Raw genomic sequence first — 19,749 nt, 5'->3', positions numbered from 1 at the left:
AGTGAGGATGGCATGTTGAAACCTGAGGTAGGCCAAAAGCTAGACTTCTTGTGCCAGTTAGAAAAGTTTTAAGTGCAGAGGAAAAGTTATTTAAGGAAATTAAAAGTAATACTCCAGTGAACACATAGATAATAAGAAACAGTTTTATTGTTGATATGGGGAAAGTTTCAGCAGCCTGAATAAAAGATCAAACAAAGCACAACATTTCATTAAGCCTAAGCCCCAAATTTGGCTTTGACTTTGTGATTAAGAACAAGGTACTAACTATCTTCAATTCTATGAATGCTGAGAGAGGCAAGGAAACTACAGAAGAAAAGTTGGAAGCTAACAGAAGTTGGTTCATGAGCTTTCAGAAAAGAAGTCATCTCCACAACATTACCGTGCAGGAAGAAGCAGTAAGCGCTGATGGAAAAGCTGCAACAAGTTGTCCAGAAGATCTAACTAAGATAACTGATCAAGGTGTCTACACTTAACTGATCAAGGTGTCTACACTAAACAACAGATTTTCAGTGTAAACAAAACAGCCTTCTATGGGAAGAAGATGGCATCTAGGCCTTTCATAGCTGAAGAGGAGAAGTCAATGCTTGGCTTCAAAGCTTCAAAGGACAGGCTAATGCAGCTCTTGTTAGGGGCTAATGCAGCTGGGGAATTTGAGTTGAAACCAATACTCATTTACCATTCTAAATATCCTAGCGCTTTTAAGAATTATGCTAAATCTAGTCTGCTTGTGCTCTACAAATAAAATGATAAAGTCTAGATGACAGCACATTTGTTTCCAGCATGGTTTACTGAATATTTTAAGCCTACTGTGTAGACCTAATGCTCAGAAAAAAAGATTACTTTCAACATATTACTTCTCATTGACAATACACCTAAATCATCCAGGAACTCAGAGGGAGGTGTACAAGGAGATTAATGTTGTTTCTCAAGGCTCCTAGTGCAGCATCCATTCTGCAGCCCATGGATCAAGAAGTAATTTCAGCTTTCATTCTCATATAAGAAATACATTTTGTAAGGTACAGCTGCCAAAGATAATGATCCCTCTGATGGATCTGAACAAAATAAATTGAAAACCTTCTGAAAAGGATTCACCATTCTAGATGTCATTAAGATTATTCATAATTCATGGGAGGAGATAAAAATATCAACATTAACAAGGATTTGGCAGAAGTTGATTAACTTTCATGGCTGACATTGAGGTGTTCAAGGCTCAGTGGCAGAAGGAACCGCAGATGTGGTAGAAATTTCAAGAGAACTAAGATTAGAAGTGGAGCGTGAAGATGTAGCTTGATTGGTGCAATCTCATGATACAACTTGAATGGATGAGAAGTTGCTTTTTATGAATGAGCAAAGAAAGTGTTTTCTTGAGATGAAATCTACTTCTGATGAAGATGCTGTGAACATTGTTGAAATGACAACAAAGGACTTAGAATATTACACAAACTTATCGATAAGGCAGCGGCAGAATTTAAGAGGATTGACACCAATTTTGAAAGTTCTACTGTTGGGAAAATGCTATCAAAGAGCATCACATGCTATAAAGTAATCTTTCATCGAAGGAATAGTCAACTGATGTGGCAAAATTTATCATCTTATTTTTAAAAATTGTCAATGTCACCTTCAGCAACCACCACCCTGATCAGTAGCCATCAACATCGAGGCAAGATCCCCAACCAGCAAAATGATTATAACTCGCTGAAGGCTCAGATAATTGTTAGCAATTTTAGCAATAAAGTACTTTTTAATTAATGCAAGTACATTGTCTGTTTAGAAATAATGCTATTGCACACATAATAGACTACAATATAGTGTAAACATAACTTACATATGCACTGAGAAACCACAAAACGTGTGATTTGTTCTTTCATGATATTCACTTTTTTGTTGTGGTTTGGAATCAAATCCATGGTTTCTTCATGGTATGCCTGTATGTATTATTAATGTTGTTATCCATCTCTTGCTTAGCATGGCATCTGCTAGGATATAAAATTACTGTTTTTTTTATCCCCTTGGAATTTATTAAATGTAAGGGGGAGATATTTTGAGACTATGCAAATACGCTGTTTCTGCTTAAACAGTCATCTCCTAAATTTAACATCCATAATTAGATCTTGCCTGCAGCAATTATTCCTGGGTTATTCTAATTGTAGTTTTGCATTTTATTCTACATTTATGAACCAGAATTATTTTGTAAGGAAGAGTTATTACTTCTCCTCCATGTATTTTTGCATCCAGTATTTATTTATATGTGCATAGTTTCATATTTTGAGGATATCCAGGTTAAGTATGATTAACTTTTTTAGCACTCCATTGCTACGTTTGCTCCAAGATTATTTTGTATTTTTCTGCCTCATGCCTGGAATCAATCAGACCCCCTAAGGAACTTGGAATTTTTCACTGAGGAATGACTTTTAAGAACCAACATCTGGACTCTAGGTGTGTTCTTTGCTACTGACCTGTCATTGCTTCTAGTCCCTCTCAAGGATCAAGCTGGGAAATGTGTGGATGTATATTAAGTCATTTATATATATATTATATATATATAATATATATATAGTATATAATATATATTAATATATATATTAAGTCACCTATTAATTTATGTCCTTTGATCTGTATGTGTATGTATATGTTAGTGTATATGTGTATGTGAATGTTATATATATATATAGATACACACGTTAAATATGTATGTATACACAGGTTAAATGTTAAATATATACATATACACATATGCACATAAAATAACATTTGCTCATACTGATATTTCTGACTCCAATCCATTACCACCACAGACTTTATTCTAGTATTTCCCCATTTTCTGATGTTTTTTTTCTCTTTCTTCAGCAGTGACTTCTATTTTCTAAAATATATTTAACTTTTTCTTCAAGCCTGGAATATAAATAGTATAGATTCAGAACCGCTAATGCATATCCCTGTGAGGAATACTAAATTGCCCAATGAAGTACAATGTGTATAGAACGAATTTTTTCATTTTGTTGTCTTTGGCCTTACAACATTTAGTTGAAAAGTTGTTTTCAAAATTTACTCAAGCCAGCTCCTTTTTTCCTATCCCTTTCAGTAGTTATATGATTTATTTTTAATAGAGTTAGATTCATTTATCACAGTCTACATTTCCTCTTTCTTCCCACATCCTGATAAATCTTTTTAAATGCTCCATTCAGTAAAATTCACACTTTGTAGAGTACACTTCTGTGGATTTTGAAAAATGAAATTAGTTGCATATTCACAACTATAATTCCATATGAAATGTAATATTACCCATAAAATTCCTTTGCTATACCCCTCCATGGTAAATCCATCTCCCCTCCTCCCCAGACCCTGGCAAGAACAGATTTCTTTTCAATACCCATTGTTTTGTTTTTACTCACATTTCATATAAAGGAATCACATAGTATGTTGTCTTCTGAGTCTGACTTCTTTCACTTAGGACAATGCATATATGATTTGTAATGGTTAATATTGTCAACTTGATTGGATTGAAGGATGCAAAGTGTTGTTCCTCATTGTGTCTATGAAGGTGTTGCCAAAGGAGATTAACATTTGAGTCAGTGGACTAGGACAGGCGGACCCACCTTCAATCTGAGTGGGTACCCTTAATCAGCTGCCAGTATAGCTAAAATAAAGCAGGCAGGAGAAGGCGGAAGAGCAGGCTTCCTGAATCTTCCAGCCTCCATCTTTCTCCTGTGCTGAATGCTTCCTGCCCTCAAACATCAGACTGCAAGATGATTCAACTCTGATGTTACAAAAATTGATAGATCGATGCTATTTATTGCTAAGCAATATTTCATTACATGAGTGTACCAGAGTTTGTATATTCATTTGACTCATTTTCCTTGATCTTGTATTTGTGGTTTTGTGTCATTACTTTCAAGAAATTAGGTATATTAAATGGATTGACAATGTTGCATGACTTTTGAATGGTCTCTTTTGGTAGTTTTTCACTAATTTTTCTCTTTATGTTTCTGTTTGAATAATTTCTATGGATCTAAGTTCAGTGAATCTTTTATGAATTTTGTCATGTTTACAGATGAGCATATCACAAATATTTCTAGTCCTCTTACTGTTTAACATGTCTAGCATTTCCCTTTCATTCTTTGTTATAATTGTAATCTCTGATAAAATTATCCACTTGCATATTGCTCACCCTTTCCAAAATAATTTCAAAAAATTTAGTACATTATTAATACTAGTCAGTTTCTATATCTTTGTCATAACTGAGTATGGTTTTGATGGTTGCTTTGTCTCTTTTAAGTGTGTTTTCCTTATCATTTTATAAGCCTTGCAATTTTTCTTAAATCCAGGCATTCTTTTCAGGACAGTAGGTATGAGTTAAGTAGCTCTTATGACCATGATTCCGTCTAATAGATCTTTATTGTGAGCATTTGAGTTAATCTAGGTAAGAATTGTACTAGGGTGTGAAGGTCGTTGTTACTGTGGCTACATTACTATGCCTTTAGTGCAATGTCTGTTCATAGAAAAAATGAATTTTTTTAAGTATGCCAACTGTTCTTACTCATAAAACGGAACAAAAAATAATTGCGTATGAATGGCAAAAATATAGTTAATAATCCTATAATACTTTTCTTTCTCTGATATGGTTTGGATTTGTGTCCCTGCTCAAATCTCATGCCGAATTTTAATCCCCAAAGTTGAAGGAGGGTCATGGTGGGAGCTGACTGGATCATGAGGGCAGATTTCCTCTTTGCTGTTCTTGTGAGAGTGAGTTCTCACGAGATTTGGTTGTTTAAAAGTGTGTGGCACTTCCTCCTTCACTCTCTTCCTCCTGCTCTGGCCACATAAGACGTGCCTGCTTCCCTTTTCATTATGACTGAAAGTTTCTCAAGGCCTCTCCAGCCATGCTTCCTTTACAGCCTGTGGAACAAAGAGCCAAAAATCTCTTTTCTTTATAAATTACCCAGTCTCAGGTATTTCTTTATAGTAGTGTGAAAACGAATTAATACATTCTTAAGAAAAGTCAATCCTAAATCTCAATACACACATTGCTTTAACTATGAAAACACAACTTTCAAGTATGCCTTGCACATATAAGTTTTGTTATGTGTTTATTTGAAATTGCATTAAGAAGCCTTAAAATCATCTTAAAAATCAAGAACTATTAGATAATAAACAAAAGTAAGATAACATATGCTCTAACTCAAATCATGAGTAAATCTCAATGATAGGATTTGTGTAAATTTGTTATTATACTTATATTGAACATAAAATAACTATAATAACATTAAGTAAGACACCTCTTTCCTTATACATTATCATTGTTTTAAAATGTATAATCCTAAGTTATTATTGTCCTGATATTAATAATTTTATAAAGTTTACTTGTATTAACTTTTAATGTTAAATCACATTGCATCATAATTGAATGCAAAATTGAATTATCAGAAGAAAAACAGAAATACTGACCCCCAAAATAAATTTATTCTCAGTCTTTATAACCACTCTGCTTAAGATGACTAATAAATGTATTTATATTCATTAAGGCTGGTTATGATAGCATGTGCCTATAGTCCCAGTTACTCAGGAGGCTGAAATGGGAGGATTTTTTGAGCCCAAGAGTTTGAGGACAGCCTGGGCAACATAATGAGACCCCATCTATTACAAAAATAAAATTTTATTAAAAAGTAGTTATATTAATAATAAAAATTATTTTTAAACTTAGAATTTGATTCACATGATATTAAAGAGTCACATTAAAGAATCTAAAGTATATTTTTCACCATTCATAACTTATGAAAAGAAAGCAATAATAAAATAGTTCTCTGACATTTATTTATTAATTGTTTATCACTAATATATACCATACTGAGTCTTTGGATTAAATCATCCATGCTAAAAAAGTGTGGCATAAAATATTTTCACTTTAAACACTTATAAAATTGTAAGATTAGCAAGTATCTACATTTGCTGTTTCTATGATTAATACCTTCATAAATATAAACTCTGTTTATATCAAAACTCTTGATTCAGAAGAAGAGACTTCTTGTCCAAATTTTATCAAAATATAAGCCAAAATATAGGCCAGTGGAAAAATGTTTGAGAAAAAATGAAACAATGAAATAGTTTGAAATTGATAAAAATATGTATTTACCTGAAAATATGGCTTCAGGCTTTGCCACTTTGAATTTAATTTGCAGTTTTAGGAGTAGCACATAAAAGTGAAATGAAGAAGAAAATTCTTCAAAAATACTTATCAGTGAATCACATTTATACAGCAAAATTTTCAAAAGCTTTGTTCAATAAGCTATTGTTTAAGAAAAATTAAAATTGTTTTGATTCACAATTCTACTCCAGCAAGTAAAGTTGCATATTATTAACATCGTCTTCACATTTTATAAAAGTAAAATTATTGCTCAATGCAGTGCATTATATTTACCTAGTGCAATAGTTTGAATACAATTTGGCATCACCAAAACTCATGGTCCCCAGTGTGGCAAAACTGGCAGGTGGTTCCTTTAAGAGGTGATTAGATCATTAAGGTAGATTAATGCCTTTTTCATGGGAATGAGTTTTCTCTCTGGTGGGACTGAGTTAGTCACTAGGAGAGCAGTTTATTATAAAGTGAGGCTGCCTCTCCTAGTTGTTCTCCTTGCACCTGCCTGCTTCCTCATGAGCTTCTCTACAGCATTATGACCCAGCATAAGGCTCTCACCAGAAGCCAACCAGGTAAGGCTGCCAGGTCTTAGACCTTCCAGCCAGCAGAATTTGAGCTAAATAATCCTCTTTCTTTTATGAATTACCCAGTCTCAGGTATCGTGTTATAGCAACAAAATGTAGACCAAGACACCTGGCATAGCTCTTGCACATACTCAGTTCCCTGAAAGGACATGTGTATTTACATTTTAATTATATTTAGATTCACAATTTGTGAATGATTCCCTCACAAATACACGAACATTATTTATATGCCTTTTTCATACTTCCCAGATGAAATCATAGATGTTTAGTAAACTACCATATCTGACTTAGTAATGCCTTAAGAACAACTTTTATCATTGCACACTATTTTACCCAGCGGAATACGTGTGTGTGTGTGTGTGTGTGTGTGTGTGTGTATAATTTATTTTCAATTACTTAATTTTGAATATTTTGTCCTTTGAAAGTTTGGCTGTTATTGTTTATCATGGTGGTTGATGTATATCCATGGTTAACTTTTTAATAGGTCATTAAATTTATCTTCATATCACTTTCAAATTTTTATTATAGGTAAATACATTTTTGTAAATGAAATTTATGTGACCATATACAGACTACACATACAATAATTGCACTTTCAGCCCACTTGTTTTATTGTGCTGACACTATACTTTTTCTTTCTTTCTTTTATTTGGAGCTAAATTAATTTTACTAGTTTATTAAAATAACGATAATCTATGGTTATTAAATATTTGTCTTTATTACATAGTTTGCCGATACGTAAGATGTTTCATTCTTGACTAGGGTAATAACCTTTAGTTACAATAACATTTCTCTTAAAAAATACTATTAAATATCTACAGATTGTTTTATGCACAATTTGTAGACAACTATTTCTAATAAATTAGGATCAATAAGCACTGGGTATCAGGCTATAATTTAAACCTCACTGACGTGTTCATTCATATGCCCATAACTCCATGAGCTGAGAAACAAGAATGTCTCATTTCCCTTGTATTTTTAGACTGCACAGGATGCTCGGCATATTAAGCATAAATAGTGGTTGAAAACATATTTACTAGTTATTGGATAAACTTTTCTCTCTCTATTCAACCTCTAACTTGCTTCATGTATTTTGGGAATAAGCTTGGTTTATCTGATTTTCAATTTATTCACTGATAAAGAAGTTTTATAAAATGCAAAGTAATTAGAAGAGCATCTTTTGTTCTAATTAAACTTTAGCAATCCAGTATATGAAATATAAATAATGGTTTTAGTTGAATTCAGGAACAATCACAGCACTTTAATCTCTTGGCTTCTTTCTTCTCAATGAAAATAATCTGGCTTCATCCCAGTTTACTCAGTCATTCACACATCCTCAAGAGAAGTCGAAGGACAGCTCACTCGATTACAGAAGGCCTGTCTTCCCCCTTACAGTGGTTATGATACAGCCCCTGGCACAAATATTAAAACCACAGTGTTGCAAACTTTCTGTCTTACATCTACAGGGGACGATTGGGTTCCACATTTGGGCAATATATAGTTTGCCAGTATCCTTAACCCCATCACTAGGCATCAGCATGGACCCCAGAAACATATTCTCCCCTATATCCCATCAATTACATCCTTATCACCTCTATTTGCCTTGTATTTGCCAGGGTTGATCTCATGATGCCTTATTTACAGATATATAAGTCATTACCCAGTCTCGTATCTCTTACCTCTCAGTTCCACAGGAGGCCTCAGACTCTTGAATCAGCTATTATTTCCTATACTCCACCCCCCCCCCTTTACCACCTCTTATTTCTCACTACCAGTTATCATTCCTCTGTCCTGATCCTTTTCGCTGGGCTCTCTGAATTTCATGGTTCATCAGCAGCAAAATTTTCAGTATCCATATCTTAACGTGTATTTTGTATTGTTGTTGCTATAACAGAATACTTGAGACTGGGTAATTTATAAAGAAAAGAGGGGTTTATTTAGCACATGGTTCTGAAGACCGAGAAGCTCAAGATCAGGTGAGGGACTCCAGCTTGGTTATAACAGGGCAGAGAAGCAGACGTGAGCACATGCAGAGTCCAAATACAGCAGGCTGGCTCCCTTTATAACAACCTATCTTGTATTAACTAATCCAGTCTATCAGAGTAGGAGTGACAACCCACCCACTCCCACAAGATGGCATTAATCTATTAATCTGTTTCTAAGGCATCTGCCTTCATAACCCAACACTTCCCACTAGGCCCCACCTCCCAACACGATCATACTGGCAATTAAATTTCAGCATGAGTTTGGTGGAAACAAACCACATCCAAACCATACCAATCCTCAACCTCTTATATTTCATTGATTGTTTTCGTTTTTTAAAAAAATCTAGATTCCACAGGGACTCTGTTTCCTATTCAGCCTCTGTTGCTTTTGCCCTATGGTAACACATGGATGTATTTAGGCATGAAAATGGAGCAGTGATCAAGAGGTCTTTAACATTCCCCTCATCTTGACAAAATTTTGGATAAGTTTTCTCTTTTCTTAAATCATTTACTTTAGAAAACTTGTAATTGCAAACTGTTTCTGGCCTTTGTGATGTAAAAACCTCTTGCCAGATTTACTATCCAGAATTGTCTTTCTCAAAGTACTAGGGGCCATTATTTTGAAGGGTAAACTTGAAGGAAGACGGGTTCCCTGTCTCCATGGTAAAGTAGGAGCCAAACTTTGGTGGGTGCCTTGATCCAAGTGGTAAAATCACCTCCTCTCATAAAACAAATTTTACTTTTCCTTTTAGTAAAACCAATTAATTAGCACAGATGGCCAGAATCTCTCCACCTCAGCTCTTGGATCTCTTATCCCTTTTCTGCTCTCCCTCCTATTGCTGCTAATAGTATCATAATAAAATCAATTTCTGTTTACTCATCTTGTCGAGTGCAGTTTTTCTTTGCCCATAGGTAACCTCTGTGATTCACATTGCCACTTTTATAGTTTTATCCTCACACAGCCAGATCCTCAGAGTATTAGTCAGGATTATCTAGAGAAGTAGGACCAATGAGGGATAAAGGAATTGGCTCATGTGTTATGAAGGCCCAGAAATCCCACAACCTGCCATCTATAAGCTGGAGAACTAGAAACACCAGGGTTGTAATTCAGTCCAAGACTGAGGGCCTGAGAACCAGGAGTTCCAAAATCTGAGCGTAGGAAAAGATGAATGTCCTAGATAAGAGAGAGGTTATTTGTTCTTTCTCCACCTTTTTGATCTATTTGAGCCTTCAATAGATTGGATGATGCCAGTCTATTGTGAGATGGTAAGGATGGAACTTCTTTATTCAGTCTACTGATGCAAATGTTAATCTCTTCAGAAACACCCTCACAGACACACCCAAAATGTTTTACCTTCTATGTGGGCATTCCTTAGCCCAATGAAGTTGATGCTTAAGCCATCACATTCAACTTTAATCCTCACATTATCAATTTATATATGAACTGTTTCAGTCAGCCACTTATCCCAGGTTATACTTTTTTTTTTCTTTTTTTACTGATTTTAACAAGTGCTTTACTGTCACTTTTTCCATAGAATTATTTCTAATTCTCGGTAATTTAAATAAATGTTGATGGACAACTCATGGGCCTTTCAGTACTTTGCGATGTTTTACTTCAATAATATTGTCGTCAGCCATACCTCAGTTTCATTTCCATTCAAACTTTAGCTTTACCAATAAATGAAACCTCCTGATAGCATTAACTTCTGTGCCCTGCTCTCTGACTGCTACCTTCTTTTGTTTTGGACGACCTTTGATACTGCTAGATTTTCATGGTAGCTTTCTGTCTGTAGTTTTTCTTTTTCCTACTTACTTTTTCCTACTTACTTGAGTTATGGTCTATGGCCAATCCTTAAAACATTCCCTTACATACAGTCTAAAACAACTTGATTTCTGTTAGGTTTTCCTACTTGTTTGGAAAAATACTAATGCTATTTAAATCAACTCTTCATCCCTTCTGTAACTATTCCATTGAACTTGAATGTGGCTAGAGAATAACACACAACTTTACTGGGAAGTCTCGCTTTACATTTATAATGATAAATTTAAAATGATACATCTGCTTTTGTTAAGAAAACATAATGTATTTTCCTAGTCCATTTAATTTTTCCTATCCCTTAGAAAACTCCCAAGCATTCTACTTTCTCTTTACATTTCCAAGGTATTATCTTCCGTCCATGTTTTCACCTGATGGCCTTACATTAATCTTTACTTAGAAAATTAAAGCAATTAAAAATGAATGTCTATAGAGTCCCACCACTACATCTAATAACCTAGCAGCATCTATGCTCTTCTATTTTATAGATAAAATGTCATATTTTAGAAAATCCAACACACACAATTTATAAGATAGTCTTATTGTATGTCACTTAAGGAAATAAAATAAAATATTGTCAATTATACTATAACACACCATCAATTGTACAATAAATTTAAACATGACATATTAAAGTAAGAAACAAGTAGAGACATTTTACAATGAATAAAATTGAGAAAAATCTGCTTCTATTTATAGGCCATTTATCCACTTACAACATTCTCTCTGCTCTGCATAAAAGCTAATTACAAAATTTCTTCTCACTTCTCATACATTACTATGTTCTCCTCTACAACACATCATTGCAATCAGTATTCAAAGATGCTGGTATTATCCCCAAGCATAAAGCATAAACAAAAATCTATGCTTGTTTACAATGCCTCTACTCTAATTCTATTTTAAAATCTCTGCAGTCAGGCCTTTGCCCCAAAAATCCACCAAAATGCTCTTGTCATGTTAATGACATCCATATGGCTAAATCTAATGGTTCTCAATCCTCATCTTACATAATATACCAGGAATGTATGACATAGTTATTCATTTCCTACTTCTTTCTTCACTTGACTTCCAAGACATTACACTCTTGATTTTGCTCCTCTCCCACTGGTTGCTTTTTCTCAGATTGCCTTGATGGTTTCTTCTCTTGTTTCTCAGCTTTAGAGTGCCCAGAGACACATGCATTAAATTTATTCATTCATTCAGATAGATAGATAGAGAGATAGAGATATAGATAGATAGATGATAGATAGATACATATATAGAGGTTTATCTATAGATAGATATAGATATAGATGTAGGTAGATAGAGGTTTATCTATACTATCTATATCGATATCATCTATATCTATCTATATCTATATCTATACCTATATCTATACCTATATCTATATCTATATCTATATCTATATCTATATCTATATCTATATATCTACCCATCTTTGTAAATTGACTTTTGGGGGGTACAGTTTTATGAGTTTTAACAACTGCATAGGTCATGTAACACAACCACAATCAAGATACAAAACAGTTCACTCACCCTGAACTGAATTTTTGTTTTTCTCTTTTGTAGTTACATGCTCTCCCAACCCCTAATTCCTGGAAATTATTGACCTATTCTCCATACATACAGTTTTACTTTTTCCGAGTTATCTTGAAAATGCAATAATAGAACATGTAACCTTTTGGATCTGCTTTTTGTTGCTTAGCATAAAGCATTTCATATTTATTGATGTTGTGGGTTTTTTTAAATCAGTAATTTGATCATTTGAATTCCTAACCAATATTCCAATGTATAGTTACCTCAAAGCTTAAGTATTTGCTGTTTGAAGGTTATACATTTGCATTATTTTCAGGTTCTAATTACCGGGAATAATTCTATTATAAATATTTACAGTTTAGTTCACAAACACATCTTCATTTCCTTAGGGTAAACAGCAAAGAACAAAGTCACTGGGTCTCAAGACAAAAGTCATCTTAACTTGCTAAGTAGCTGCCACAGTGTTTTCCGAAGAAGTTATACCACCTCACCAAGAATATTAGAAAGTTCTAGCTGCTCTACAATTTTACCCGCACTTAACACTCATGTCTAAGTTCCATCTCACATGGTGCTTTCTGAAAAATTATCACAAAATAGACACCTTCCGATATCACTAACTATATAAACATTTAAGAAAATGTCAATGGAATACTAAGTATAATCTTCAATTGACTCTTAGCTGTGCCAGCAATTTTTAAAAATTGTTTATGTCTCACTTCAACACATTCTTTCTAAAAAAATGGACTAACATTATTTCTTGAATAAGTTTGCTTTGTATTTTTTTTGTTTGCCACTCATCACATTTGAGATGATGAAATGCTTGAATAAATTTCTTAAATGTCATAGCTCCTTGGAGACTATTTTCACTGCATAAATAGAATTTCTACATAAATTCCATTTTGGTACACTTTTCTTTTGTCCATTTCTTATATATGCTTCACTTGTGAGAATATTATTTTCTACCAATGAGGAGAACTGGAAGATTGTAATAAAATGACCTTATGTTTAAAAGTATTTTTGTTTTGTATCAGTACTTGTTGAGTCTCACAGTTGATTAAAACATTTTTTCTCAATACATTAACAAACTAAAGAAGTGAAGATTAAATTCACAGTTGTTGTACTTTGCCCAACCTTAGCTATGGTCTCCAGGCTTCAGGTTAACACAATTATTTGCAGAATTCTGAAAGACTTTAGTGTCCCAGTAGAGTTTTAATTCCGCACAAGTTTTCTAATAAGAGTTTATGTATACTTGATAATTTCCTATATTGCAATACAACTCAGAGAAATCTACCAATTCCTTTTAGGAATATGGTTTGAGGTTGACATCATAGAAATTTCCAAGTAATTCCTATCTAGTCTTTCCTTCTCATAAGGTGTTACCATTGCTACTTTTAAGACTAACTTGTAATAGACAATTCCGTTTTAATTTATTAAAAGCCGTCATCAAAAGAGCCATTTCAACATTGTAGTAAATACTTGTAACTTTTATGTTCAAGGTTTATATGGTAGGTTAAACACAGACTTTGGAGATAGACACTTTTCTTCAAGTCAGGTCTTCTTGTAGTGAAAGATATTGACTTGAATGTAATTCCTCAGTCTCTTTATCTTTTTAATAAAACTATTAAGTGAACAGTAAACATTGTGTATATTTGTGGTGTGTAGCATGATTTTCTCTTGTATGTATACATTGTGGAATGGCTAAAGCAAGCTATTTAAGCTACACATTACCTTACGAACTTATCGTTTTTTATGAGTGTAATAAAAACATTTCGAGCTTTCATGAAAGATAAGATACTGAAAAAAGCAGAAGAAAAGAAGCAAAACACGTATAAGGGAGTTCTAATAAGGCTAGTAGTGAATTTCTCGGCAGAATCCTTTCAGGCCATGAGAGAGAAGGATAATATATTCAGAATTCTGAAGGGGGAAAATTATCGATCAAGAATGCTGTTTCCAGCAAATCTGTTTTCCAGAAATGAAAAAGAAATAAAAACTTTCCCAGATTAACAAAACCTGATGGAGCTCATCAGCAGTAGACCTATTTCAAAAGAAATGTTAAAGGGAGTTCTTCAAACTGAAAGATAATGATGTGAATGAGTAACATAAAAATATAGGAAAGTAAAAAACTCACTGGTAAAATTAAATACATCGTCAAATTCAGAATATTCTAATACTGTAATGGTGGTGTCCACATCACTTATATCTTTAGTATGAAGGTCAAAAGACAAAACTATTGAAAATAATAACAACTAGAATAATTTGTTAAGGTCTATATCATATACAATGGTGTAAATTGTACATCAAAAGTGTAAAATATAGAGGGGTGGAGTAAAAATATACAGTAATTTTATATAGTTTGATTTAAATTGCTATAAGGTAAAAATAGTCTATTATAAACTATAAGTTATTTAACTAAAACTCATGGTAACCACAGAGTTTCTTTATCTTTAACATGAGATTAGCAGAATGCCTACCTCAATACATTAAGGTAAGAATTAAATGTGAAAATCCATTTCATACAGCTGACACCACACACATTGTAAATCTTTTAATACATCTTAACTATATCTACTAATATGACCCAAATTTTTTGGTATTACCATCAAGTCCACACTAGGGTCATGTTCTGACCCTTGTTCATTCATGAGTATGCATAAGTGAATGTGTCTACACAGCGTTGATTGGATTTTCTCATATTTAATCAGCTGTTTTTCTTTCTTCTCAATCACTCTGCCTTTTTGTATTTTCTTAGTATCTTTCTTTTCTACTTGTTTACACTTTCTTAACTTCTGGCTTTTGTATTAACAGCATTTATAGTATTTATTTAACAGTACTATAAATTCACATGGTAAACTATAAAGTTTATATGTATTGCATTTCCGGAATTTCAGTTATTTGTAAAACAAAATAATTAATGGAACTCCTGGAAATACAAACATTAATATTCACATTCAAGAAACTAAATTGCATTAAAGTAGAATATTGATGCTTCTTGACTTACAATGAGGTTATGTCATGATAAACCCATCATAATTCAAAAATGTTTTAAGTCAAATCATTGTAAGTCCATATGTTTCTCAATATATGATGAGATTAGTTCCAGAAAACCCAACACAAATGTAAAAAATCAAAAGTTGAACCATTGTATATTGGGGACTGACTGTATGTGCAAAGTGAATCACTATCAGATACATCATAAACTGTTAAACTCAAAAGCAACAAGTATAAAAGAATGCAAGTAAAAGGAATCAATGATAAAATTAACAGCTGACTGTTGACACCTGCTGGAGCCAGTAGACAGTGGCTGTTAACTAAGAATTTTATATCCACCAAATCTATTTTTAAATTAATCAAAATTAGAAAATTCACAGGGAAAATAATTTAGAGAATGTGTTGCTACCAGACTCTCCTTACAAAATAAATTTTTTTAATTTATAAGGATAAAACCAAGTGACCCTAAACAGTATTCAAATACACACACACACACACACACACACACACACACACACACACACACAGAGAGACACCCACCCAAGAATGCTGGTGAAGGTGGCCGGGCGCGGTGGCTCACGCCTGTAATCCCAGCACTTTGGGAGGCCGAGGCGGGTGGATCACAAGGTCAGGAGATCGAGACCATCCTGGCTAACACAGTGAAACCCCATCTCTATTAAAAATAGTTAGCTTGGCGTGGTGGCGGGCGCCTGTAGTCCCAGCTACTCGGGAGGCTGAGGCAGGAGAATGGCGTGAACCCGGGAGGTGGAGCTTGCAGCGAGACGAGATCGCGCCACTGCACTCCAGCCTGGGCGACAAAGCGAGACTCTACCTCAAAAAAAAAAAAAGAATGCTGGTGAAGGTAATTGTGCGCTTACTAATGACAGCATGAAAACACTTATGTCTTCTCCTCTTGGCTGATTCAAAAGCAATTGTATAGAGCCTAAGAAATGACCCCCTCCATATATGGTAATGACCCAAGTCCGCAAAATGGGAAACAGACAGTCTCTCTCACAAATGTTGTTGAGAAACTGAATATTCACATGTAAAATAAAGAAGTTGGAACATTGAATTACATAATATAAAAAAATTAATTCATGTCAAAATCAATTAAAACCCTACATGTAAAAACTGAAACTATAAAACTACTAGAAGAGATTACAGGGGAAAGCTGAAGGAAAATTCACTCTACCAACTATTATTTGTTTATTTGACACCAAAATCATAGACAATATAGGCAAAAATAAACAAATGGTACCACATTAAACTTGAAACTTCTGTGCATCAAAAGATATACCTAAAATTAAAATCACAACCTATATAATGAGAAAAATATTTTGTATCATATATGATAAGGAATTAATATTCAGAATATATACATGATTCCTATAGCTCGACAACAATGAGAAAATGTGAAAAAAAATTTAAAAGGCTAAATGTCTTGAATAAATAGTTTACCAAAGAGGTTATGCAAATTACTAACAAGCATATGAACTGCTGATCAATATTACTAATCATTAGAGAAATGCAAATCAAAATTAAAATTGGGTATCACTTCATGCTCATTGAAATGGCCACTATAAAAACAAAATAAAACAAAACAGAAAATAGCAAATGTTTGCAAGAGCACTGGAGGAATCGGATCCTTGTGTACTGCTGATTGAAATGTAAAATGGTGCAGCCATTATGAAAAATAGAACAGAGATTCCTAAAACAAATTAAAAATAAAGTTACAATATGACCTTGCATTTATACTTCTAGGTATATATCTAAAAAATTGAAAGCATGATCTTGAAAATATATTTTTACATCCAGTTTTCTAACAGGAATATTCACATTGGTCAACGTAGAAGCAACTTAAGTGTCCATTAACAGACATTAACAGAATAATAAATAAAGAAAATTTGGTATATCACTTGCATTGGTTATTCAGTGTTTAAAAGGAAAAATAATTCTGACACATGCAACAACATAAATGAACCTTGAACACATTTGCTAAGTGAAACACGCCAATCAAAAAAAACAAATTCTACATAATCTCACTTCTGTGAGGTAACTAAAATAGACTCCTGGAGACAGAGTATAGTGATGGTTGTTAGGAGCTATGAAGATTGGGAAATCGGGATTGTTTATTTGTATAGGGTTTCAGCACTGTGAGATGAAATTTTCTAGATTCTTGTTAACAATAATATAAATGTACTTATCATTACAGAACTATCCAGAGGGAAATTGTTAATATGGTAAATTTTATGTAATCTATTTGTTATCATAACTTTCTAAAATATCATTTAGGCTGGATGGAGGCTGAGGCAAATGTCACAGATGATGGAGACATGACCAGGGTGATGGGAATGGCGTTGAAGAGAAGTTGCCTGGCTTGATATGTAGTTGAAAAGTAGAACTTACAGGACTTGCTAATAGTCTACAGGTGAGGAACAGAAAAAGCTAACTTCCAATCAAAAGTCCTGAATAATTGAGTAGATGATGGTAAGAAAAGGTGAAAAACAGGTAAGGAAAAAACTGGCAGAAAACAAAGTTGTATAAAATAATATGTATATTGTTGCACTGTTAGGTCTGTAACATATGAAAACGTAATATATTTTTAAAATATAACACAAGAAGTGGGGAACAAAACCGTATTGGAGTAATAAAATGACATTAGATAACAACTCAGATCCATAGGAACCAAAACAATAAATTAGCCAGATAGTAAATAAGGTTTATGTAACAAACTTTATAAATATATACTTATTCTACTTTATCCTTATGAGATCTTTAAAAGGCATAAAGTACAGATTTACAATTACAAATAATATTGTTGAGTTTGTAAAACATATAGATGTAATGTGTATAAAAATAATAGATAAAAGGGGGAAAGGAGAATATATCTATACAGGAGTAATAGTTACATTAACCATTTATAGCTATAAGTTAGTATAAATCTCAAATAGAGTCTAATAAGAAAATTATGTATATAGTAAACTTTAAAACAAATATTAAGAGGCAATTATTAAAAAGTCAAGAAAGAACAGATGCTGGAGAGGCTGTGGAGAAATAGAAATGCTTTTACACTGTTGATAGGAACGACAATTAGTTCACCACTGTGCAAGACAGTGTGGTGATTCCTCAAAAACCTGGAACCAGAAATACCATTTGACCCGCAATCCCATTACTGGGTATATACCCAAGGGAATATAAATCATTCTATTATACAAGATACATGCACATATATTCATTGCAGCATTATTCACAATAGCAAAGACATGGAATCAACCCAAATGCCCACCAATGATAGACTGGATTAAAAAATATGGTACACGGCCCCGCGTGGTGGCTGACGCTCGTAATCCCAGCACTTTGGGAGGCCGAGGCGGGCGGATCACGGGGTCAGGAGATCGAGACCATCCTGGCTAATACGGTGAAACCCCGTCTCTACTAAAAATACAAAAAAATTAGCCAGGCGTGGTAGCGGGCGCCTGTAGTCCCAACTACTAGGGAGGCTGAGGCAGGAGAATGGCATGAACCCGGGAGGTGGAGCTTGCAGTGAGCCGAGATCACGCCACTGCACTCAAGTCTGGGTGACAGAGCGAGACTCCCTCTCAAAAAAAAAAAAAAAAAATGTGATACATATACACCATGTAATACTGTGCAGCCACAAAAAAGAGTAAGATCATGTCCTTTGCAGGGACATGGATGGAGCTGGAAGCCCTTATCCTCAGCAAACTAATGCAGGAACAGAAAACCAAACACAGCATGTTCTCACTTATAAGTAGAGGCCGGACAATGAGAATACATGGACGCAGGGAGAGGAACAACACACTCTGGGGCCTATCAGAGGGTCAGTGGACTGGGGGAGGGAGAGCATCACGATAAATAGTTAATGCATGTGGGGCTTAATATACCTAGGTGATGGATTGATAAGTGCAGCCAATCACTATGGCACATGTTTACCTATGTAACATGCCTGCATGTCCTCCACATGTATTCCAGAACTTAAAATAAAATTAATTTTTTTTTTTTGAGACGGAGTCTCGCTCTGTTGCCCAGGCTGGAGTGCAGTGGTGTGATCTCGGCTCACTGCAAGCTCTGCCTCTCAGGCTCACGCCATTTTCCTGCCTCAGCCTCCTAAGTAGCTGGGACTACAGGCACCCGCCACCACGCCTGGCTAATTTTTTGTATTTTTAATAGAGACGGGGTTTCACCGTGTTAGCCAGAATGGTCTCGATCTCCTGACCTCATGATCCGCCTGCCTCAGCCTCCAAAGTGCTGGGATTACAGGCGTGAGCCACTGTGCCCGGCCTAAATTAAAATTTTTAAAAAAGAGTATAATTCCTCCTCAAAATAAAAATAAGAAGGATGAAAGGGAACTTTTGAAGGTGATGGATATGTTTTTAGAATAGATTTTAATAGTGGTTTCACAGATATGTACTTATCTACAAACTCATAAACTTATGAGCCTTTAAAATATATTTAATGATACATTAAATACAAAAAGCTTTTTGTATGTCAATCATATATTAATAAAATGTTTTAAAAATAATATAACCCCCACAATAGCAAAAATAGCAATTAAATAAATTAAATGATACACAAGAAAATTCACTGAGTTCAAGAGGATGCAGTAAAGGAGCAATTGAGGAATAAAAATGAATAGATGAGATAGAAAACAAAACATAAAATGGCATATGTTTTAAATGATATCCATTG

General features: G+C 34.0%; 1 long non-coding RNA gene across 1 annotated transcript in view; it reads left to right on the top strand.

The window, feature by feature from the left end:
• The window catches only part of LINC00559 (long intergenic non-protein coding RNA 559), a 59,471-nt gene that overhangs the window by 23,121 nt on the left and 16,601 nt on the right, over positions 1 to 19,749 (top strand). Inside the window, exon 4 of the long non-coding RNA NR_047489.1 lies at positions 17,335 to 17,470. This is a non-coding gene — a long non-coding RNA (long intergenic non-protein coding RNA 559). The remainder of the gene's footprint in view (positions 1 to 17,334; positions 17,471 to 19,749) is intronic.

Source organism: Homo sapiens, chromosome 13 (assembly GCF_000001405.40).
Source record: "Homo sapiens chromosome 13, GRCh38.p14 Primary Assembly".
NCBI classification, from domain to species: Eukaryota; Metazoa; Chordata; class Mammalia; order Primates; family Hominidae; genus Homo; species Homo sapiens.
This window is presented reverse-complemented; position numbering and strand designations above follow the sequence as displayed.